Source organism: Homo sapiens, chromosome 8, assembly GCF_000001405.40.
Source record: "Homo sapiens chromosome 8, GRCh38.p14 Primary Assembly".
Classification (NCBI taxonomy): Eukaryota; Metazoa; Chordata; class Mammalia; order Primates; family Hominidae; genus Homo; species Homo sapiens.
The window spans coordinates 30,487,798-30,513,249 of NC_000008.11; the positions used below are offsets into that span (position 1 = coordinate 30,487,798).

A 25,452-nucleotide genomic window follows, 5' to 3' on the forward strand; every position below is an offset into this window, starting at 1 on the left:
ATTTATAGAAAAATACACCGTGAAGTATATTTTTAAGACTAAAACTTCTTTTCTAAAAATCTAGTGTAAAGTTTCAGTAGATAACATTTTGAAAAACCAAGTGATGCTTTGAGTAACCTGGTCATTGCATAAAAGGATATATAAGATTTTTTTTTTCTTGGCCATTGTGCGGCAAGTTAATTTTTAGGATTATTGTTTTTAAATTAAAAGTTCAAAATAATTTCCCCAGAAAAGCAGTTGGGTAGAAAATTCCTTTTCTACTATAAACCTATGACCAACAGTTCTCTTGTATTTTGAATTTTTAAATCTGGTTTCTCCTTTATTTGCCTTACACAAGACATCAGTCATATGTAAATGAATGAATAAATACACAGAGTACTTAAAGAGTTAAATTTGTAAACACAGGACATGAAAATAAGTTTAGATGGAAAAGGAATTCACATCAAGTTACTTTATAACAAAGGAACAAAAACAGGTAAAGTATAAAAGCATTATTTGTATGTGTACTTTCAAAAATAAGAATAAAAATACAATCCACACAAAGTAATTTCTGTATAATGTCTCACAGAATTTAGGTATTCACTTAGAAGTCAGATGTAATGATGTCCAAATAAAAGAACATTGAATAGAAGGCAGAAAAGGTTATTTAAGATTACAGGTGATAGATACACCTCTGTGGAAAAGGCAAACAACCAGGTGTGAAACAGAATCTGGCTGTTCACACCTCTTAGAATGCTCAATAAATGAGTGACAAAATGAATGGAGGAAAGGCTTTTAGGCTTAGGGATGACCCTAGGTAACTCTAGCAGGAAAATGTTGATTTTAACAAAATTTCACCCTGTCCCCTTGATTTATCTGTAGAGGTGTTTACCAAATTCTGAAAACACACTTGAAACTACTCTTAAAATAAAAAATTTTAATACACTGACATTAAAAACATACTGTGTATTTGATGTTAGGGTAGTTTTATGTATTTCTGCATAACATCAAGTGTTAGTGAGTTTGTACCTGTAAAAAGGTACTAAATTTGTTAATTGAGGCTAAGAAGAGAACAATGGAAGTATGTCTTCTTGATAACCAATCATGTGGGTGTCCGAATCCAGCGGACCTGATTATATCCAGGCCCTGCCACTTTACTGATTTGGGGGCTCTTCTTCAAGCCTTGATTTTCCTTCCTATGCTGTTGATCGTGGCCACCTCAAAGGGTAAGAGGATCAAATTAAATGAGATGGTGGGTGTTTTTGTTGGTTTTTGATTTTTTGTTGTTAAGACAGGGTCTTGTCCTGTTGCCCAGGCTGGAGTGCAGTGGTGCCATCATGACTCACTACAGCCTCGACATCCTGGCCTTGAGTGCTCCTCCCACCTCAGCCTCCCGAATAGCTGGGACCACAGACACATGCCACCAGGCCTGGCTAATTTTTTTATGTTTTGTAGAAGTGTTGTCTCTCTGTATTGCCCAGGCTGGCCTCAAACTCCTGGCCTCAAGTGATCTCTCACCTCAGCTTTGCAGAGTGTTAGGATTATAGCTGTGAGCCATTGCGCCTGACCGAGATGGGTATTTTTAAAGCTACTGGCATTCAGTAATGGTAAAAATGCTGTTAATTAATGATAATGACAACCTTCACAAAGGACTGGTTTTTATTCCTAAAGTCTCTTTTTCTTTTCTTTTCTTTTTTTCGAGACAGTCTCGCTCTGTCGCCCAGGCTGGAGTGCAGTGGCTCACTGCAACCTCTGCCTCCCAGGTTCAAGGTATTCTTCTGCCTCAGCCTCCTGAGTAGCTGGGATTACAGGCGCGCGCCGCCACGCCCGGCGAATTTTTGAATTTTTAGTAGAGATGGGGTTTCACCCCGTTGGTCAGGCTGGTCTGGAACTCCTGACCTCGTGTTCTGCCCGCCTCGGCCTCCCAAAGTGCAGGGATTACAGGCGTGAGCCACCGTGCCTGGCTAAAGTCTTTTTTTCTGTACACTGGTGTTTTTATTTTTTCTTTTTTTCTGTATACTGGTGTTTTTTGTTTTGTTTTGTTTTGTTTTTGAGACGGAGTCTCGCTGTGTTACCCAGGCTGGAGTGCAGTGGCGCGATGTTGGCTCACTGCAACCTCTGCCTCCCAGGTTCACACCATTCTCCTGCCTCAGCCTCCCGAATAGCTGGGACTACAGGCACCCGCCACCACGCCCGGCTAATTTTTTTGTATTTTTTAGTAGAGACAGGATTTCACTGTGTTAGTCAGGATGGTCTCGATCTCCTGATTTTGTGATCCTCCCGCCTCGGCCTTCCAAAGTGCTGGGATTACAGGCGAGAGCCACCACGCCCAGCCTCTGTATACTGGTTTTTAAAATAATTTTGGTGGAACCTCAAATTCCAGTGGATTCAGAGTATTTCTAAACATTGACTTATAGTTAATGGTAAAATTATTCATCCTTCCTTTCTTGGAGCTCATCAGGGAAACACAGTTGCAATGTTATCCTTAATATTCTCAAGCCTATAAAATATTGTAACCTGAACAAACACATCCTCATCTCCCTTTTATTTTATCTTAATTGTGCACATCTTTCTCCATTTCAAATTCTAATTGAATCTCTGTTTCGAAGACCCAACATCCATTGATTATAATGTTTCTTTAGCAGCCAGTGAGATTCCTGACTTAGAGGGGTTTTGTTTGTTATTGTTGTCTTTTTTTTTTGAGACGGAGTCTCGCTCTGTCACCCAGGCTGGAGTGCAATGGTGCAATCTTGGCTCACTGCAACCTCTGCCTCCGGGGTTCAAGTGATTCTCCTGCCTCAGCCTCCTGAGTAGCTGGGATTACAGGCGCGTGCCTCCACGCCCGGCTAATTTTTTGTATATTTGGTAGAGACAGGGTTTCACCATACCATGTTGGTCAGGCTGGTCTTGAACTCCTGGACCTCGTGATGCGCCCACCTCGGCCTCCCAACTGACTTAGAGTTTATAGATAAGCCTTTTTGCAGAAGGGGAGAAATTCAGCCTCAGTTTGGTTAGATCACTAGTAATCTAATTGCAAGGATTCATTAGAGTAGAGGAAGAGCACTGATTTCAGTTGTGTAGTGGCGAGATAGGTTTTGCCTCACTTTGTTTTGGCTCCCTGTGCAGCACAGGAAGTACTTTGCAGTGAACTTCCTAAGTTTGGACTTGACTGTTTACATTCTTTTCAACTAACTTGTGCCTTAAGCCCCAAGTTCTTGGTTGGAAGGAGGTTGCAAGCCATTTGATGGTGTGTGTTAGAGGTGTTTTAAAAAATAGGGTTAAGGAGCAAATTTACCCACTTTGCTTATTTCTGTACTTTTATGAAATTCATCAGTGACATCTCCCCCAACCCTATTGATTAATTTAGTATATGGTATTAGTAAATGATGTTGAGGACCAGTAAATAATGTATTGGTATAAATGGCTCATTTTTATCCTTAGTGAAATAAAGGATATAAAACCATTGACTTATAAAATTATTTGTATTTTTTAAATGTACTACAGCTTTTTCTTTCTAAAAATTTGTTGTCAAGTTGTACAGTTTGAAAATTAGTAGCTAGATCAAGATAGTGATTATCTTTGGGGGAGGGGGAAGAAAACAAGAAAATGCACGTTTTCTACTTGCTCTTGGTATTTCATTTCATTAACATTACCTAAACTTGGTTGGGCACACACAGGGTGGGAGGTTTCACTGGATCCTGTTGGGGGCTGGGGGGCTGATTGCTAAAATACTGGAGAGCAGAAACAGGATTGTGAAAATATACTTGGAGGCCTATTGCGGTCTATGTCTGATCTTTAAATAGAAATCTTCTCAAAATGGTTTTGGAAAGTTTAGGCAACTGTTTTTTTTCAATTGTAGAGTTTGTTTATGTCAGTACTGTTTTCTCTCCTCCTCCTACCTCTTTTTTTCTTCTGCACCAGCCACTAATAAAAGCTCAAAGTAAACTTTGCAGAACGATCCTTAAAACATATACAGAAAGTTAAGATAGGTCCTCAAATGACCTAACAAGCACTTAAGGTGAAGCTAAAAGAAGAGCTCGTTAAATGCATTCTCTTAGCCTGCCTACCTCACAAGTAGGACTTATTCTTCATGTGCTTTTCCATGTAGACACAGACACCCCCACCCCTCCCCCAATGGAGTTTCGCTCTTGTCGCCCAGGCTGGAGTGCAATGGCACAATCTCGGCTCACTGCAATCTCCGGCCTCCACGATTCAGGCAATTCTTCTGCCTCAGCCTCCTGAGTAGCTGGGATTACAGGCGTGCAGCACCACGTCTGGCTAATTTTTGTATTTTTATTAGAGATAGGGTTTCACCATGGTTGTCAGGCTGGTCTCGAACTCCTGACCTCAGGTGATCCACCTGCCCCGGCCTCCCAAAGTGCTGACATTACAGGTGTGAGCCACTGCGCCCAGCCGACACACTTGTTTTTTAAAATAATTCTCTGAGACTTTTTATATTACACAGTGTTAATTATTCAACTTATCTTTGAGTGCATAAAGCACTTTCACACATGCATGCATCCATTGTCTCATTTTGCCTGATAAGTGCATAATATGTATTAGATGCAAAAGTAGGTTGATCTCCTTTTCAGTAATTAGAAGATTAATGTGTAATTATGTATAATTAGTCCTTTCTTTAAAGAGCTGACACCACGCTTGTCAACACCAGTAACCCTTTGACTTAAAAAAAAAATACCCCTTTTATCTTTAAAGGATCTAGATCGTCATCTGCTAATTGGATATGAAATTAGTAAGTATTTCAAAACCCATCCCTTCCAAGTTTAATCCTGGGTTTTGTACTTGGCAGAAGCTGTATGGGCACATATGTGGCCCTTATGAATGAAAGTGATTCTCTCAATTTGCAATCACTAGGAAAAAAAAATACAAGCTACTTTTAAAGTTGTTATTGATAATGAATTTGCACATAAACCCCCCTACTTTTTCACTGGATTCACTATGTAACCAAAGGGGTGTGTATTTTCTAGACTGGCCTGTTTCAGTAATATAGACTGGCTTCTTTAAGAATAAGGTTGTGATTTCTTTTGTCCATTTTATTGTTGTTTTCTTTTTTTCTTACTCTTTTTTTCCTTTTTGGTGCCAAATTCACTGATTTAAGCCTATGATCTGAGCTTTACAGAGATGAATCACATAATCGGGAAATCATTTACATGTTCACATTGACAGGGCATGGTTTCTATGCCACATTTCTGAAATTTTTGATGTGACACCCATAAGGCTTTAGTCAAATACAAGGACGTGCTTTGTTGAGGCAAACCCACTGTTGATTTCCCAAGTCAGTGAAGTTGGCCATTAAAATTCTGAAGTTTCTTTGGTGTCACTTGACAGTGACCGACATCAGACTGGAATGTCTTGGGCCAACATTAAGCCAATATGGACCATTAAAAATTTGTTTATAGGTTTTCCCCAAATCACCCCAAGGTCTCTATCAGAGTTGAAAATTTAACTGAATTGAGAGCTATTGCCTAGGATCTGCTTCCTTTAAGCTTTCATTTTGAGTGCCTTCATTTAGCAGGTAGCAGGAGAAAAAGACATTGATGCAAAGGGGAAAGAATGTATGCCAATGGGTTTATTCATTATCCTTACAGTGAGACAGGAGAGGAAAAGGCAGTAAGGACTCTGCAATGAAAGGGACTACTGGCAGCACCAGCCACGTTTGGTGTTTGTGCATTAAGGATTCTAAGGGATGTTTTTATGCCTACCAGAGCAGTTGACCTGCTGCTTTACCTTCTGTTCACCTTCAGAGTTCTCGGTGTAAAAATGTGAGCATCAGGATTCCTGAGTAAGAGAGTACCATCTGCACTCTGGCCTATGTTTCTTTCCATGTAATATTATCTATTTCAAAGTGTCACTGTAAAATATTTCTTTAATGGGTAACTGACTGTGTTTGGGTTAGAAACAGCCCTTTCCTATCATTGTCAGGGCCCAGGTCTTTCAATCATCCTTTTCAGAATGGTTTGAGAACATAGTGGCAAAAGTTCAAACAATCACGCCCTCTCGACCCTTTGGAAAATAAACTCTGCTTGTCTCTGATTCTCTTGACATGTTAAAGATTGCGTTTATCGCTTCTTCAAAGGCCCTGTCATGACTTTATAGTCATCCTATACAAAGCAGATTCTCCTAGGGCATGGTTATATACATAGGGGTGGTTGGCTAACACAAAAAGTAAGTGTGTGTTGTAGAAAAGAAATTAATTGGGCTGGGGTGGATGGTCAAGTCAGATGGAGATTCCAGATACCTTCGAAGTATATCTGCCTGGTTCCTCCTACAAAGGGAATCCAGTCTCTGCAATTACCAGCCAGGCCTCTAAGATCTACTCAGACTGTGTGAACCAACAGACATGGGGCAGGAGAAGCAGGACACACGTCAGCTCCCTGTGGGGGAAACACAGGAAATAAAGGAAACTACACAGCATCAGACTGGACAGCAGCTCAGGTGTCCTGCTGCTTTCTCCCAATTGGGGCAGTCTCAGAGCAGAGTATGAATCTCATCTTTCTCTTTCTAAGTAATAGAAGAACCTCTCCAAAAAAGCCAAAGGAGAAGAATCCCCATTGGTTCATATTTGGAAGAGGAGCTCCATAGCTGATAAGCACTGGGCCATAGGGATTAGTGTTTATCAGATGTCAGGCATTAATCCGGCCATTTACAAGATCTCATTTAATCTTTACAATGAATGCTATGAAATATGGACTATATTCATCCCCAGTTTACAGCAGAGGACTGAGACACAGAAAGGTTAAACAGTATATCCAAGGTCAATACTGGAGTAGTATTTGAATCTAGGAAGTCAGACTCTTAAATCCACACTCCCGATTCTCACAGTGTAAGCCTCTTGTTCCTGGGGAGGTTCCACAAAATTGATTGTGATGCTGAGTTGGGATGTCTCTTTTATAATTGTGACTATAATTAACTCTAGCTGATGGTACTCCTAGACACCTAGTTTTCTCGATACCTTTGCCAGTTGTAGAAGGGGATTGATTAACCAAGACCTTCTTCTCCTGGTTGCTTTTCTAATCCTTCTAGGTTCGGGGGCAGACATGAGGTTTTCCCCATTTTGTTATTGGAGCAGTTACTACATACCTTAAACACAATGTATTGTTTTCACCATAGGAATTTGGCTTAGTGGTGGGAGGGTGTGAGTTTGAGTGCCACAGTTTATTCAAAGGAATAAAAGTGAAGCCAAATGTACATTGTATTTTAAGAAGTGGCCTAGTCACTAGGAAATATTAAAATCTTTTTATCCCTCTGGTTAATGAGGATGAGATTAGGCTTCTCTATCATGGCCAATATTATTCTTTTATAACACTTAGCTTGTTACAGATATTATCAGAGGAGAAGTTACACAGGCTTGAAATCAAAGATAAACCTGTGGAAACATTCTAGACTAGACATGGAAACATATTCCTGTCTGTTACTAAAACATTCAAAAGAGGATAAAATTTTATTGCGTTTTATGGAACATCTGGTTTAGAAACAATTATGAAGGTTTTTTTTTTTTTTTTAAATTCAAGGGGTTAAAAATCAAAACTGACTTCAAGATATGTGGTAACCTAACACTTCCTGGAAGACTGTTCAATTAGGCAATCAAGCGAGAAACTGTGCCCAGACTCATGGCCCAGCATCACCTCTAATGGCTCCATGGGCACGTATACCACAGGAAGCCTTGGGAAAGGGGTCTCTTTCTCCAAGTGCAGTATAGCTGTTTTACCAATGGACAGGCAAACATGTTTTCAAATGACTGATTTAGGCAAGGGAAAAAAGGAGTATTAAATCAGATTATTCTAAGGTAAAGCCAGGGCAAGCACTGGGAGGTAGTTGGATTAAGAAAAAGAATGAGGCATAATTGGTGTGATACAGTTTCTCATTGGGCAGTAACCCAGCAGCACAGGCTGTTGTATTAACAGTCCTGATGTCTTTGCAAGCAATGCCCTTATTTAGGAAAAGTATGAAATACGGTTTACATCTGACGGATTCTTTCCCTCACTTGTTCATTCTCTGTTGGAATCCATATCTACCTAAGTTTCATCACAATGCAAACTGAACAACAGCCTCAGTTATTATCTGGAAACAATGTAGTCTTTATAAAAGAAAAATCTTCACGGAACTGTAATGTCCTCACACACACACGCTCTATTGGGAATTTAAAAATTGGATTGTGATATGGATTCTACCAGTAGTTAGCTGGGAATTTAGGCACATTATTTTTCTGGATCTTTTTTCATCTGTGTTGGGAAGCCTATTGGCATTTTGGATGAGAATTCTTAACATTGTGTGGGACTATCCTGCTCCTTTTAGGACTTTATCTTCCTGCCTCCTGCCTAATGAATGCCTGTGTGGTATTCAGTCATATAACAGCCTTCAGATACCCTTGCGCATTTCTTTTTTTTTTTTTGAGACGGAGTCTTGCTCTGTCTCCCAGGCTGGAGTGCAGTGGCATGATCTCAGCTCACTGTAATCTCCACCACCTGATTTCACGCCATTCTCCTGCCTCAGCCTCCCAAGTATCTGGGACTACAGGCGTCCGCCACCACGCCCGGCTAATTTTTTGTATTTTTAGTAGAGCGGGGGTTTCACCGTGTTAGCCAGGGTGGTCTCGATCTCCCAACCTCGTGATCTGCCCTCCTTGGCCTCCCAAAGTGGTGGGATTACAGGCGTGAGCCACCGTGCCCGGCCACCCTCACTCATTTCTAAATACTCCTAAGGAGTAGGGGGAAAGGGCAATGAGGAGTACTAACCATGGCTGAGAACTAGGCTTGATGACCCCAAAAGTTCAGTACTAATTATGAATTTCATGATTTATGTTGACAAACCTGTATTACTTATCAGAGAACCTGACCCAGTTCTCTACTAGCTTCCCATTCCTGTGATCTTTACTCATAGTTTTCTATTTTAAAAATGTTTGAGTGTCACAAGTTTTCACTTGTAACACAGTGATATATTAATAAATGGTAGAAAACTTCTACTGGTTCATTTTTAACTCACCTGCACACTGTTGTCTCTCAGTGAGTCCTGTGCTCTCCACTGTAATAGATTACCCAGATGCGGGTTTATCTGTGGCCTGTCATGGAGTCATTTCAGGCTCCAACTGAGCGTAACAATTGTTTTCACAGACTCCTGGGGAAACTTTCGACTATACCTTGCCTAGTTTCTGTTTCTGATATAACCGATTATGATGCCTGTGGCAGAGAAAGCTGACAATACTCAAAAAACTAAATATATTTTAACCTTGGACCAATATTTGAGAGCTCAGAATCTCTCTAAAGTATGTATTTACTTCCTAGTTTCTGATGGAAATGACATGGCTATCAATTTTAAGAAACAGTTTATATTCCTAACTTATGTTTTTAACTTCTAAAAAGGCAAAAAAAATTCTTTCTGCTTCATTTCCTTTTCTCCTGTTGAAAGATTTGTGGTCCCCAGGATATTTCCTTTTCTTGTGACCAAAACGCTCTTTGAAAATAGTAGAAGGCTTTTATTGTGGCTCATGCCTGTAATCCCAACACTTTGGGAGGCTGAGGCAGGCAGATCACTTGAGGTCAGGAGTTCAAGACCAGCCTGACAAACATGGTGAAATCCCGTCTCTACTAGAAATATAAAAAATCAGCTGGGCATGGTAATGCACACCTATAATCCCAGCTACTCGGGAGGCTGAGGCATGAGAATTGCTTGAACCCCAAAGGCAGAGAGGTTGTAGTGACCCAAAATCATGCCACTGCACTCCAGCCCGGGTGACAGAGTGAGACTCTGTCTCAAAAATGATAAACCGGTAGAAGACTTTTATTCTTAGCTCTCTCTAGAAAATGGTTTTTTTTGTTGTTGTTTTGTTTTGTTTGTTTGTTTGAGATGGAGTCTTGCTCTGTCGCCCAGGCTGGAGTGCAGTGGCACCATCTCGGCTCACTGCAAGCTCCACCTCCCGGGTTCACACAGTTCTCCTGCCTCAGCCTCAGCCTCCCGAGTAGCTGGGACTACAGGCGCCCGCCACCACGCCTGGCTAATTTTTTGTATTTTTAGTAGAGATGGGGTTTCACCATGTTAGCCAGGTTGGTCTCGATCTCCTGACCTTGTGATCTGCCCGCCTCGGCCTCCCAAAGTGCTGGGATTACAGGCATGATCCACCAAGCCCGGCCACAAGGTCACAGAGGGATAGTAGCAAATTTGACCTTGAGTTTCATTGGCTGTGGGTTTTCATTTGGAGTTGGCCGTGGAGGAAGGGGCAGTATAAAGGTTGTTAGAATCAATTGAAGAAGTCTTTCAGCCTACTAGATGGGATCGTATATTACTACTACCTTACTATTTTTATCCTATAGTAAAAGGCAGTTTCATCTAGTTCAGTACATATGCCTCAGATCTACTGGATCAACAGATCAGAATGGAAGTGTAGGAAGCTCTAGCAGAATCTGATAGGAAGCTCTTAAAGAAGTGACTTGTGGCTGTATCCCAGAGGAGGTAGAGCCTTTGATTATTTAGAAGCTTCCTTGGAGAAGTTCAGTATCTCAGAAAGTCAAAGCAGGTGGGGAGGGGAGTTGGAATTCTAGATCCTCAGCTTTTAGTCAATATTTATAATATATATTCATAAGTGGGTTAGCAGAAAGATGAATGGGTCGATGAATCAGCTTTCACTTTTGAAATGGTAGAATAGTTTTTACTTGCTATGAATGCATAGGCAAAGTGGAGACAACAAGGATGGGGAGAGACTCCAAATTGAAGACAGAAACAAATGACTAACTGTATGTCAAATGAATAACACAACCACACTGAAGGTGGGGGGAATGGGGAAACTAACCCACAAATAATCCAAATAATATACATATTGGCAACATACATTTAGACTAAAGACAAAAAACTGTAAATAAATATAAGTTGTAGTTAATAGACTTTTTATAGTGGTATCGGTTAGCAATTGTGCATTTTTGTATTGAGCAAATAAATAAATGTATAGTAGATAATGAGAGCTAGGATTCTCGCTATTAGAGGAGTTACACATAGGCAAAGGAGAGGGATAGAATTAACCAAATGGTGTTAGATTGGAATTGGAGCTATCAGTATGAACTTCAATACATCTAAATATATTTTAAATATATTAAAATGTGTTTATTAAAATAAAAATTAAAAATATTTTAAATATATCTATATGATGCAGAGAAGTAGATCTGAATGTTAGGGCATGTATGTGTACACAACTGGGACACTTGGAACAGCAAAATAAATAATGATAGTAATGAATTATAAAGCATAGAGCTAAATATAAGTCTGTAAGTCATTACTGATGTAAATAATTAACAGGGCAGAAGGGAGAGCTTTTCCATGGAGTAGAAAGCTGATACACTGTATATAAAAGGAGCAATGAAGGCAATCCCAGCTACTCGGGAGGCTGAGGCAGGAGAATTGCTTAAACACAGGAGGTGGAGGTTGCAGTAAGCCGCTGAGATCATGCCGCTGCACTGTAGCCTGAGTGACAGAGCAAGACTCCGTCTGGTGGCAGCAGGGAGGAGCAATGAGATTACTAAAGCACCATTTGGCAACTACAATAGTAACAGTTGCTTCAGGTAATAATTATTAATAGGTGTTAAAACTAGTAGATTTTTTTGAAAAACAACATATTTATATAGTCTGGAAATATCTGTCTATAAGAAACTACTTAAAAAGGGAAAACAGCATCTTTACAATAGAGAAACTTGGCAAATGATCAAAGCTAATATCACTCGTAATGGGACAAAAGTGACATCATGTGCCTCTTGATATTATGCACTGTGCAGGACATCCATCTCTGATCTTCCTGCCAAAAAATGCGTAACCTGAATCTAAACCAAAAAAAAAAAATTAGATAAACCCAAATCGAGGGCTACTCTACAAAATAAATAGCTTGTAGTTTTCAAAAATATCAAGCTCATGAAAGGTAAGGACTGAAGAACTCTTTCAGGAGACTAAAGTGATGACAACTAAGTGCTGTGTGATTCTGGATTAGATCTTGGATCAGGAAAACAAAGAGATGTCCTTGTTTTTAGGAAATCAAACTGAAGTAAAGGGTAAAAGAATAGCATGCTTGCTACTTACTTTTAATCAGTTCAGGGGAAACTGTGTGTGTGTGTGTGTGTGTGTGTGTGTGTGTGTGTTTGATAAATGTGAAATGCTAACATCTAAGAAATCTGTGCAAAGGGTATATAGGAATTATACTATGTCTGCAATTTTTCTGTAAGTCTGAAATTATTTCAGAATAAAGTTCTTTGTTAAAAGTAACTAGTTTTTAAAAACATAGCTGGTTGAATGCTGTGTCCCAGTAGGAAATCCCTTATTCCACCTCTCTCCTTTTGTTTTTAATTCTGTATTGGATTTTATAAATTATACATAGTTGTAAAAATTTCAAATGATGCAAAATTGTACAAAAGTCTGTGCCCTCTCTCACCCCTACCACTAAGTTGTCTGCTATTATTAACTGGTTGGTTGTCTCATTCTAAACCTTTCTGGACTTACACAGATAGAGAAGTATACATGCAGATGTATATACAGTCTCCTCTACCCCCATACTACCAAACATTGTTGAGTATCTTTTTTTTTTTTTTTTCAGGCTAATCTAGCCATGGACATCTTTCTCAATATGTATATATAGCTCTGCTTTGTTTCTAAGCATTTTTTTTCTAAATGAGTCATTCCATTGTCCCTAAAACTCATTGTCAAGGACTGATGGACTAACTTTAGCGCAGAACCATTTGTAACAACACTGGGAGCCTGAAGCTAACAGAATTGAAGTACTCTGTTTATTGTACCACATAACCAAGACTGTATCAGGTATGAGGGTGCTCTGAAGACCTCAGTGACAGGAATTTGGAGACTTTTTCTCTAGTGAGAGGCTGTTACGGTGACTCAGCTTTGGTCAACACCATTTTCTGTGTCTCTATATAGGCTCAAGGTTGAAATCCTTATAAGAGAAAACAGGTTTTGTCACTTTAGGCTGCAGCTGCCCCTTAAATAGGCAGCTGTGGTCAGAGGAATAAGGGCACAGAACACAGACATTGGCCCCTGAGTACCCTTCCCAAAGAAGAAGGCTTAGAGGGCAGTAGCCATCTCATCCCAGCTTCTCTTCCCAGGGCTGCTCTAATGGTTTCATATCTGATCTGTTCTAGTCCCTTCATTGAGTCTGTCTTCCCTACCACCCCTAGAGTTACCGCCAATCACTGTGATTCTCAAATGTGGTCCCTACACAAACAGCATCAGCATTACCCTGAACTTGTTAAAAATGCAAATTTTCAGATTCCATCTCAGAGCTACTGAACCAGAAACTCTAGCAAATCCTCCAAGTTGATGCTGCTAACATTTGAGGGTCACAGACCTACTACATAAAGCTGATCATATTATCCCCCCCATTTTTAAAACCTAATGGCTTAGCTGAGCACACACTCCAAAGTCCTCAGTCATGGCATAAGAGGTCCTTTGTGATCTCTCCCCAGTCTGCTTGTTCAGCCACCCCACCCCTGACCCCTCCCACCCCAACACCCTTTCTGCATCCTGTTACAGAGAAATTTGCTGAGCCCTTTCCTGAACTGCACCTGGTGAACTTCTACTCTTCATCACTTCCTCTGGTGCCTTCCCTGGCTCCCTGGCATGAAACTGCCCTGGTATACTTTTAAGTATACTGGACGAACAAGAATATGTTGTTTCTCAGCAGTGTCCTTTTAAAGATCTCCCAGAATTTGCCCTGAGTAGGGAATTCAGCCTCTGTAGATTATATGGAACCTGCATTTGTAGAGACTGTTGGCTGTCCAGTAGCCAGTCAGATTGGGGTGCTTGTAAGTAACTGTTTATATTCAAATTAATATACTAATATTCAGAAACTGTCCTTTCTGGTCCATGTAATAAATAGGACACCATTTACATTTGGAAGAGAAAGGTTCTCTGTTCATTGTGAGAAGAACGGTGAATTATGAGCAAGAGAGGAAAAGGTTGCTTTTGAAAGACACAGGTTCACCCTTTCACTTGGCAGTAATCTTATCCTGACAGCATTTAATGTGGAGTAATTGTAGCCAGAGAAGAATCTTAGTAGGCTTTAATTAAAAACACAAGGAATTTTTTTCTCTTGTCTTCTTCCTATCTGCCTCTTTTTCTTTTTTCCCTCTTCGTTTCTGTGTTCTCCCTTTTCCTGCCCCTCTTTTTTCTCCTCTTCATCATCCCTTAACATTTAAAATGTTTTTGGCTTGGCTAATCCCTATGGATGGAAACTTAGCTGCGCAGGATATTGATTACCAAATATGGTATTGCTGCTAAAGATGTTAGAGGAATGTGGCTTGTATTCTAAGCCTCCGGCCTCTGAATAAGCTGCCAAACAAATTAGGTCATTTTAACTTCTGAGCTTTTTTTTTTTTTTTTTAAATAAGGATGCTGGAACTTTGATTTGGAACATGATGTTGATGTTATTTTAGTTCAAATTGGGGGGCGGGTATGAAGAAGGGGGCAGGGAGTAGGGGAGACTTAGTTCAGCATGTTTTAGGACTCAAGCCGCCAGCCCAGGTTGTGTAAGAGGCAAACACATGATGTGGAGCTTCAGTTGATTCTGGAACACCAGTGAAAGAGCTGAGGCATAGAATTCACATGTGCAGCCTCATTTTCTGAGGCTAGATGCTCTAGACCACAACTAGGTCCCAGGATACTCTTCACATCATCCCCAGTGGCCTGGGCCACAGGACTCAGGTTAATGTGAACTCAGGTTTAGGAAAGTTGCTTCTTCACAGGAAGGTTGGTCAAGTTTAGTGCCGGGGAGGACGTCCTGAAGTTGATGGCAAGTTGCTACTATGTGTGTCTGATGGAGTGTGGTGCAAATGAGGAAGTCCTTTTACAGCATACCTGTACGTAACACCCAGGGACTGTGCTTGCCTCCCAGCAGAGACCACAGTTCTTAGGTCCATTCTTGGAAATATTAATTCTGTTGTAATATTAGCTTTGTTAGGGTGGAAGTTGGTCCACCTCAGTGAGGTCCTTTGTGACCTCACCCCAGCCTGCTTCAGAATGCAGCTTTGCTTTTTGTTTTTGTTTTTCCTTATATACTTTTTCTTCAAAATAATACTGAGGTTTCCCAAATTTAAAAAACAAAAATACAACACAATATCAGTTAAAGAAAATGTTCTTATGTTTCACAGAACAGGCACTATCTGTTCGCTTTTTGGTGTTGATTAGGTATGCACAAGGGTATTCTCCACATCCCTTTTGCTACTGCCCTCAGTTGGTTTCTTCTCAGAATGAGTGAGTCATGCTCATGAAGTTCCACCCACTCCAAGACTTCTGGGTCAGGGCTCTGTGGCTTTTGTTAGGCCTCCCTAAGGACCTCTCTTTCCTTCCCCTTCCCCCCTTGTTTCCTGTTAATGCCATTACCATCCAGCCACAGGCTCTTCCTTGTATACTTGAAGCTGAGCCTGTGAAGTTCAGAGTTGTTCATCCTGGTCTCTAGAGTAAGAGAGTCTTGTTTTTGTGGATATTTCTTTTTTTGAGACAGAGTCTAGCTCTGTCACCCAGGCTGGAGTGCAATGGCGCGATCTTGGCTCACTGTACCCTCTGCCTCATGGGCTCAAGCAATTCTGTCTCAGCATTCCAAGTAACTAACTGGGATTACAGGTGCATGCCGCCACGCCCAGCTAATTTTTTTTTTTTTGTATTTTAGTAGAGATGGGGTTTCACCATGTTGCCCAGGCTGGTGTTGAACTCCCGAGCTCAGGCAATCCACTCGCCTCGGCCTCCCAAAGTGCTAGGATGACAGGCATGAGCCACAACGCCCTGCCTGCTCTTATTTTTTTTCAAGCTCATTAGGAAGAATGGTGGCGAGGGGGCGGGGGATGCTTTGGAGCCCTCAGGCCCATGTGTGTACATTCAGAACACTAAATGGCAACTGTGTTCTTAGGAGACTCGTTTTCAGGACTCCAGTCCCTTTCCAGACCACACCATGAAAACATGGGAACTGAGTGGGTCCCATGGGTGCACATTTAAAATACACTCTCTTGGGATATCTTTTTGACACGTAGGGTCCAGAATTCATGGTATTGGATGCTTAATAATGAAGACATTCTTGAATGGTGGAAAGGTTCCAAATAGACTTGTCTTGCGCTAGTGTCTTTCATAGTGTCTGTGATTTGTTTTACTGAATATAATCTATTTTAGGTAAACTGCAGGAATAGGGTCAGAGGTAACTGAAATTACTATATATTAAAGTGTGTAACTGTGCTAGGAATTTGCTGGTTCAAATTTTAAACTGAAAAGTTTTTGTCTAAAAAGAAAAGGAATAGTTGAAAATCTGTGTAACTACATTTTTTAACTAAACTAAATCCCACTGACTTTCGGGACACTTTGTGTTGTCATTTTTCATGTAACCTGTGTAAGTAGTAAGAATGAGAGTGGTTGCTGACCTTTTTTCCTGATAGACCAGGGTTTACTGGTGTGTTTATTTTGTCACCATTCCGGTTTGACTCAAAGGAAATGAAAACATCTTCCATTTGTTCTCTGTTTCCAAAGGGCATCCGCTTCGATCCTGAAATTCCGCAAACACTACGACTAGAGTTTGCTAAGGCAAACACGAAGATGGCCAAGAACAAACTCGTAGGGACTCCAAACCCCAGTACTCCTCTGCCCAACACTGTACCTCAGTTCATTGCCAGAGAGCCATGTAAGTCGATCTACTTTTCATTCAAAAGTAATAATAACTAAGAACTGTTCATGTGCTGCATGTGAGGTTACACCATGGGACATGGAGCTGGCTGAGTCTTATTTTCCATTTCTGTGAAGAGGTTGCCTAGGCGTTCTTGGTGTCAGAATTCCAAATACAGCAATCTTGTTTGTGATTGGCTTCCCAAAAGATGGTTCAGCTTGAATAGAACCATAACTTCAGAATATCATTTGATGTACTACAGATTTCCTTAATGTTATATTGACCATCATGAGTATGCCCCTAGTTGCCTTGGGTATAAACCCTTCATTCCCCCCTGCTCGGACACGAGAGCTGGTTCTCAGCATTTACTTTAATCCATTTGTTGAAGGACATCAGCTCGGTGGCTTTGGAAAAATAGGATATTAAAAGAGAAAGAAGCAGATCTTGGGAATTTGGTTCTATTCAGTTTAGCCATAACTCTAGGGGGAAAAGTAAACACATACAAAGAATGTATATATTGGAACTGTCAGTCTAGCAAACTAATACCAGTAAAACTTTAAGGAAATTTGGGGCTTTCTTTTCCAACTTAATTGGATAAGGACACTGGCTAATTGCTCAAGACGTCTTCTACCCCACATTAATAAGCTTATTTCATTATATGTCCAGACTACCATTTCTGCCTTTCCCTGAATAACTTTAAAAGATTGAATTTGCTTTCTCAAGCTCAGTCAGTGGCAGAAGTGGGGCATGAGACAGGCCTTAACTTCTCCTTTCATTGCAGAGCCATATGTGATTTAATATGGCAGGGCATTCAAGGAAACCCAAGTGACTTGGATTCCAAGTTATTTGGAATATTTCTGTCCTGTTGTTTTTGGTCTGCTTTCTAAACCACACGGTTGTGATCTTCTTCCTTCGATAGTACATTTTAACTCTTCTTATTGAAATTGAAGGACACATGGATTCCTTGCTCCCCCCATGTCATGTGCATGTCAGATTTAATCAGGTTATCTTTGGAAGTCACAGCCATTCTGTAGTTCAGTCACTCTTGGTACTCATCAGTAGAAACTAACAGATAAGTCTCCCTGAATGTTCTAAAATAAATGTTTCTATGAATCCAGAAAGTCATAATAGATTAAAAAAAATTATTTTGTTCTTTCACCTTCTTTGTCCCAGGGAAACTAGAAACCTTTGCTTATTTGGGAAGGAAATCTAAACAAAAGTTACATCTTACAGTGTACTTGTAGTACAGGAGGATATAGGAACATCTTTTACATAATTCTTCATCCTTATAGTATCTAGCTTAATACTTTGTATATTGTATATATTTAATATTTATTATAGTGAGTGGATAAATTGATACTGAAATTGGGCTACTTGTAGAACTGTAGATGCATTTGTATGCCTCTTCTCTCTGAAATTTCTTCTCTCTTGATCAAGGCATCAAAAAAGAGTATTTTTAGGATGCCTGATTTAGTAAAAATAACCTAAAGTAATTCTTTGCCTTTTTAGTGAATTTGCCAGCCTCAGATCTCAGAGTTCTTTGAAAAGATTAATTCAGGCAGGAAATGTAATGCTGGTGATACTTAACTTTACCTTTTCAATTCTTTGCTGAATGCTCTTTTTAACAGGACCACGAAACTTTTTCTGAATTTCCTACAACAGCCCTGTGAAATAGGTAGCCAGGAAGGTTGTAGCCAGATTACGACATGCTATACAAAAGCAACAAATAGGAACAAACTGGACATTCACAAGTCCCTGAAGTTACAGGAGAGCATAGAAACTGAGCTTAGAACTCTTTTCTGGCAAGCTCTGCTCACCTCCCTTCCCAGCATACAGAACAGTGCAAAAATGGCCAGATAGTTTCCATGACAGGGTAAAAACTTGCCCAGCTGTTCACAGCAACACAAATTTGAAGTTTAAAAAAAAAAAAAAAAAAAAAATCCAAGCAGCCAGCAGTGTATTCTTGAGGAAAATAAAAGTCAGCATGATTTATCTTAATATAGCTCATTTTTACGACACAGCATCTTGAGGAGAGCAAGTCCACTATGGCTCAGGTCAACCTTATTATCCATTGCCATTCCCTCTGGGAACTGGGAACTTGACCGTCACATACAACTTGCTTACCTGGAAGCATACGGCAAGACTAAGAACACTGTGTTGGGTCTACACGGACAAACCCACTTGCATTGTACTCAGAATTGGTACTCAAGGTGGTCAGTTTAACTACTTATCAGGTGTAGAATATAATGGAATTGGAGAATTTGAGGATTGGAAAGGCCCTGAAGGCTAGTCTTTGTTGTAGGCCATAGAGGTTTTTTATAAATGTTTCTTTTGGTTACTGTTTTTATATGGTAGTGGCTGAAAAGCACTCGTTGCCATCACTAAAGGAAGAATGTTCTGTGGTTTGATTATACAACACACATACACTTGAACTCTCAATTCTCCATAAATATATGAACTTAATGAACTTAAACGAGCACCCAATGTGCTAGACCCTGGAGAAGAAGGAAATTGGTTGCTGCCTTAAAAGAGCTGTCGTTCCGGGGAGGTGATGGTGGTCAAAGTTGTCAGAAAAACTTGGCCCCATATGAAGGACATATAAGAGATTCTGCAGCTTAGTTGAGATTGACCCCGAATCAGACTGCCGTATTTGCTGAGCACCTGCTCTATTTGTGCCAGGGATGGAGAGTGAGAAAACCAGGTGTTGCAACTTAGCTGGGTAGATGGTGGCCTGCTGTGGAGAACTTTGGCTTCAGGCTAGAAGATGTCACTGAGAATCCTGTCGATAATTCTGCCAATTATTGACAAGCTTTGTGACCTTTAAGAGAAAAAAATTTTTTTCACTTGGTTGTGCTCCTATTCTCTCAGCTGTAAAATAGGAATAATACTTTCTGATTGTTAGGAGAGGTAAATAAAACAATATCCCAGGATTGGGCTGAGGATTAAATAGATATAGTGTATGTAAAGTACTAGGCAAACGTAAAGTACAATCATAATTTGTTAATAAAAAGCATTGGGTTGCCTTTCTTTCCTAATAGTTACAGCAGATATTGATCTTCTGAGTTGTCATCACAGTTTGAGTGTAGCCAATTGTCTTTGCAAGTTAGGAGAAAGGATGAGTGAAATTGACATACAATTTCAAGAAAGTAGTATACCTACCTGCCTAAATTAATAGAATTGATCATTAATTTGAGCTTTTATTTCTCTTCCTTGTATGTAATAAAGTTGGAAAAGATCTGTGAGAAAGCGGGAGTTAAGAGATGAGGAAGAATTATAAATTACATTAAATTCTCTTAGATTGTGCATTAGGTTGTACAGGAATGTAGTATTCTATAATAAGAACTCTGCTTTGGAGGTGAAGAAAGAGTAAGTCACTGTTACTGATTTTTATTTTTCTCGTCTGTAAAGTGATGATGCTGTGTGCCAGATCCTCTCCTAAGCATTTTTATGTGAATTATCTCATTTCATTCTCAATAGCACTTATTTTCCAGTTGAAGAAACTGAGGCCTGGGAAAGTCTAGTAACTTTCCTGAGTTAACACTGTCAGTAAGTGTGATGGCTGAATAGTGTCCCCCAGAATTCATATGATGAAGTGTCTGTTCCTAGTACCTCAAAATGTGACCATATTTGGAGATAAGATTTTTAAAGAGATGATTAAGTTCAAATGGGGCCCTTAGGGGTGGAGCCCTAATCCATTATGACTGCTATCCATATAAGAAGAAAAAGAGACACCAGGTATGTATATACACGGAGGAAGGGCCGTGTGAGGACAGAGGACAAAGCAACCATCTGCAAGCCAAGGAGAGAGACCTCAGGAGAAACCAACCCTACAGACACCTCTAGACTGGCCTCTAGAACTGTGAGGAAATAAATTATTTGTTGTTTAAGCCACTCACTCTGGTATATCACTATGGCAGCCCTAGAAATACAATACATCAAGTGATAGAGCCTAGACTTAAATTCTAGATTTTTTGTCATTTACTAGTTTTGTAAGTTTGGTTTAGTTACCTAACCTCTCTGTGTCTCAGTTTTCTCAGCTACACAGCGGCAATAATTAGGGCCACAGAGTCAGTACGCAGTGACTGTTAGTGTGCGTGTGTAAAAATGGGTACATTCACGTGCCTTTTGTCCCTCATAATTAAAAGACCTGTAGTTTTTCTGTGTTTGTATACTCAGCATCTCACATCTATAAATACATAATGGATTTTTTTTTTTGGTAACATACCATAGTTTTATTTTTATGTTTTTTTCAATTGATCATGATTTTCTTATTCCCAGCAAGTGTGGAGAGAGGTGCCCTTCAAAGTACTTTTTAAACTTACAGTGTTACTGAGGTCTGATTGGGATGTGATAAAATGCACATATTTAAGATGGCTCATTTGGTTAGTTTGTCATAATACATATGAAATTAATTGAATAAATGTTCTTGATGAGTTTATACTCTTTGCAATATACCTTATTATAATAGTGCCCTTAAAGGTGGAGGCATTCAACACTTAATAGAGCCTTTACTCAGTTTAGACAGATCCTGTCCTTTCGATTCAGTTTTTATGAAGCAGATATCAAAAGGCTCCAGAACTCTGCAGTAATGAAGATTCCTGTACTCCAGCTCCAAGGAGTCCGGTTCTGCAGGTCTGGGCTAGGACGTAGGCTCTGTATTTTAAAAAAATAATAATTGTTCTTATTTTCCTCCCCTCTAGGCTTTTAAAAGCTCTTTGGGTAGTTTTGATGCACAGTTGAGAGTCACTGATAAATCAAGGAATTTTTAAAGTTAAATTCTCCTTCCTACTTTCATATTCTTCTCCTTTGCCCCTGCACCTTTCTTCCTTCCTCCCTTCTTCCCTCCTCCCTTCCCTCTCTCAGACAAAAGCTTGCTCTGTTAAATTAGTACTCTTAGATACCTGATCAGCACATAACATTTTGGTGACTAATCAGATTACTTCCTTGTTTACCTGCCATGTCCCTGGAAGTTCCCATTTATCCAGTAACAACCTACGCTAACTGGAAGTGAGTTCTGTGTCTCATGTCTGAAGAGACCCTGTGAAGGTTCAGGAGAGCCTGTAAAGTATCTCACACATTCCCTCCCAGAGACAACACTGAGCAAATAGGAAATCTCTTAACATTCATCTCTGCGGGACAAGGTCATCCAGGGCCTATCTAAAGCTTCCTGTATCCCATGGTACAGAGCCCTGGTGCCTGCATTTTTTCCAAGGCAGCAGTGCATGGCATGCACAATTAGAAAGATTGGCAGATGTCTTGTCAGTTTCACGCCTGCTCTCCAGCGGCATTGTTTATGAAGACTGACTGGGCAGGAGGAATACCTAATCAATCTGGGCAGAAGGAACGGGACACAAGGGAATGACTAAAAGTTGCAGGTGTTCTGAGGGCAAGACTTTCTATTTCATTTTTTTCTCATAACCAAAATCCTACATGCTTCTCAGAAGAAAAATTTTCAGGCAGTCCAGCAAAAAAATAAAAGTCATTAAATTCTACTACCCAGAGACAATCACCATTAACAATTTGGTGCTTATCCTTACACACCTTTTAATATGCACATAATAAAATGTATCTCTTTCTGCATTTTGAATTTTGAAATCATTTAACTTACCCCTTTATCTTTAGGACAAAGTTTTGCTGCAAGTGAGACTAAGTGGCTCAGTAGGGCCGAAAATAATACCTGGGCTCTCACAAAACATCACCTCAGTCTCTGCTGCTGTTGCTGTAGAGCACTGTGTATTCATATGGCACAGATACGCTTGCTAGAATCAGAGCAAGAGGAATAGTGGCAGAGAGAAGTCTCTCTTAACTCTGATGTCTCGAGTAAACCCAAACCAGCTCCTGAGCTGCTTGAATTCTGGCATTTGATTGAATGATTCATAGGCCTTTATTTAATGGATGGGAAGAAAGGAAATGTTTATTGAGCAACTACTCTCTTTCCTTAAGAATTATATGTAAAATACCTATTTTACCCCTAAGGAGACTGAAACTCAAGAGTTTGAGTAGCTTTCCCAAAGTCACATAGCTCATTTTAAGGCGTGCTTGGCTCTAAAACTCATTGCTAGTCTCACATCACCACACTGCCTTTTTTTTTTTTCCAGTTATGTTTTTATTATTTACCTCCCAACCTGCTCCCCCTCCTGCCCTTCAACATTGCCTACCTTTATGGTCCATTTCTTGATTGATTGGCAGGGTTTGGCTCTGTCTCCCAGGCAGGAGTTCAGTGGCACAATCATGGCTCCCTGCAGCTTTGACCTCCTCTCAAGTGATCCTTCTACCTCAGCCTTCCAAATAGCTGGGACTACAGGTGCATGCCACCACACCCAGCTAAATCTTTATTTTTTGTAGAGATGGGGTTTCGCCACATTGGCCAGGCTGGTCTCCTGGGCTCAAGCAATCCACCTGCCTTGGCCTCCCAAAGTTCTGGGATTACAGGTGTGAGCCATGACTCACTTCTTTTTGAAGTAGCCCATGGGTGCTGACAGCTATAGTTCTTTCGAAGATAATTCCTTAGAAGGTGCTTTAAACTCACTCAGACCTTTGAAAATGCACTTACTAAAGAGATATAAAGTCAGGATTTCAGGGCTGGTCAACTTCTTATTGAAAAAAATCAAGGCCAGGCGTGGTGGCTCACACCTGTAATCCCAGCACTTTGGGAGGCCGAGGTGATCTCAAGTGATCAGGAGGTCAGGAGTTTGAGACCACCCTGGCCAACATGGTGAAACCCCGCCTCTACTAAAAATACAAAAATTAACTAGGCGTGGCAGCGCTCACCTGTAATCTCAGCTACTCCGGAGGCTGAGGCAGAGAATCACTTGAACCCAGGAGGCAGAGGTTGCAGTGAGCTGAGATCGTGCCACTGCACCCCAGCCTGGGTGACAGAGCGAGACTCTGCCTCAAAATAAAACAAAAAATCAAGCTTCAGACTGGGCTTGGTTGATCATTCCTGTAATCCTAGCACTTTGGGAGGCCGAGGCAGGCGGGTTGCCTGAGCTCAGGAGTTTGAGACCAACCTGGGCAACATGGCAAAACCCCATCTCTTTAAAACAAAAAAAGAAAAAAAAAAAAAAAATATATATATATATATATATATATATATATATATATATATTTCTGTGTGTGTGTGTGTGTGTGTATGTATAGATATATATATTTGTGTATATATGTGTATAGATATATATATTTGTGTATATATATATTTGTATATATATGTGTGTGTGTGTATATAGATACACATATATATATACACACAAAAAAAATTAGCTGGGCATGATGGTGTGCGCCTGTAATCCCAGCTACTCAGGAGGCTGAAGCATGAGAATTGCTTGAACCCGGGAGGCCGAGGTTGCAGTGAGCTGAGATCGCACCATTCCTCTGCAGCCTGGGCAACAGAGTGAGACTGTGTCTCAAAAAAAAATCAAGCTTCAGTATAATTCAGTAGCATCAAATTTGATGGCCAAGGTGCATTAACTGTAAAATGTTAGCTGAAGTTGAACCACCAGATCGTTTATATTTAGTTTTGGTGTACTTTTTTCTCTCTGGGAAAACTAAAACTAACATAGGAATGTGAGGGATTGTTTTACATAATATTGGGTTGGTTATTCAGGGAGATAAAATTTTCAGTCCACGTTAAGAGAACATGCCTCAAGTCAGTCAGTCTCTCTCTGTTTTTGAAGATTGGGCCTTGCTATGTCACCCATGCTGGCCTAAAAGTCCTGGGTTCAAGCAATCCTCATGCCTCAGCCTCCAGAGTAGCTGGGAGTACAAGCACATACCATACCACCTTGCCTGGGGTTTCTTCATGTATTTCCTTTTTTATTATTTATTTTTGTTTACTTATTTGTTTGTGTATGCTTTTTTGTTTTTGTTTATTTTATACATAAATATCTATGCATTTATACATACTGTATAAAAATACAGCATATGGCAGGTTTTTTGGTTGGATTTAGTTTAGATAAAACATGGCCATACTATTCTTAACATGAGTTCTCACCTCGTGGACCCCTTTCCATCCAGGACTATATATCCAAAGCATTGTTTTTTTTGTTGTTGTTTGGGTTTTTGTTACTGTTGTTGTTTTTTGAGGTTAGGTCTTGCTCTTTGACCCAGGCTGGAGTACAGTGGTGCAATCATAGTCATATCTCATCACTTCAGTCTCCAACTCCTGGGCTGAAGCCCGAGTGATCCTCCTGCCTCAGCCTCCTGGCTAGTTTAAAAAAAAAAATTTGTAGAGATGGGATCTCGCTGTGTCTCTAACTTCTGGGCCTTCTCGCTAGGCCTCCCAAAGTGCTGAGATTACAGGCAAGAGCCACTGCACCTGGCCACTGACCATACTATACTTAAACAAATTCTCACCTCATGAACACTTTTCTATCCAGGTAGACTTCATCAAAACCGCCTCCTTAAGCTCTAGGAAACTGATAAGAGCAGAACTCCATATGATCTCTTTCGTGTAGAGAGAGGAGTTCAGTTAGTGGTAAATAAAAAGGGGAAGGGGCCTGCCCTGAAGTTTCTTCTTGATATCACCCGAAATGCTACTGGGTGGGTAGATTTGGAGGTACACTTAGAAAGGCAGCCTTCCCACCCCACCCCACCCTGAGATTTTGGGAAGAGGTGGTAGTGAGGGCACACGTCATTATTTCACCCCTTTTTCTTGCCTCCAGTCTTTGCTGGTGAGGGATAGGAGTCTCAGTGTGAAGAACAGGTTGTGGGGAGAAAGTAATGCAGAGTCTTGGGGCAGCAGAGCCCTAGGGTGATAGCAAAAGAAAGAGGCCAGGAAGTGAGACACAGAGGAGAAAGACTTCAGACTGTGGCATCAGAGCCACAGCACCCAG

General features: G+C 40.4%; 1 protein-coding gene and 1 long non-coding RNA gene across 24 annotated transcripts in view; one reads left to right on the forward strand and one right to left on the reverse strand.

Annotated features, from left to right (window-relative positions):
* RBPMS (RNA binding protein, mRNA processing factor) overlaps positions 1-25,452 on the forward strand; it is a 187,716-nt gene that overhangs the window by 103,257 nt on the left and 59,007 nt on the right. For 20 of the 23 annotated variants that reach the window (XR_007060693.1, NM_001008711.3, XM_017012981.3 and 17 more), the window contains one exon: positions 16,489-16,639. Coding sequence is in view for 22 of the 23 variants with exons in the window: in NM_001008711.3 (NP_001008711.1) it covers positions 16,489-16,639 (151 nt within the window). In the remaining variant the exon portion in view is untranslated. Of the gene's footprint in view, positions 1-13,478; positions 13,782-16,488; positions 16,640-25,452 lie in introns of those variants that run through there. The other 3 variants (XM_017012985.3, XM_047421280.1, XM_024447055.2) reach the window with 1 other exon arrangement.
* On the reverse strand, positions 12,736-16,492 carry LOC124901929 (uncharacterized). Its single transcript, XR_007060882.1, has 2 exons — positions 16,383-16,492; positions 12,736-12,913 (listed from the first exon to the last, which is right to left on the reverse strand). It is a non-coding gene; the product is annotated as an uncharacterized LOC124901929 (long non-coding RNA).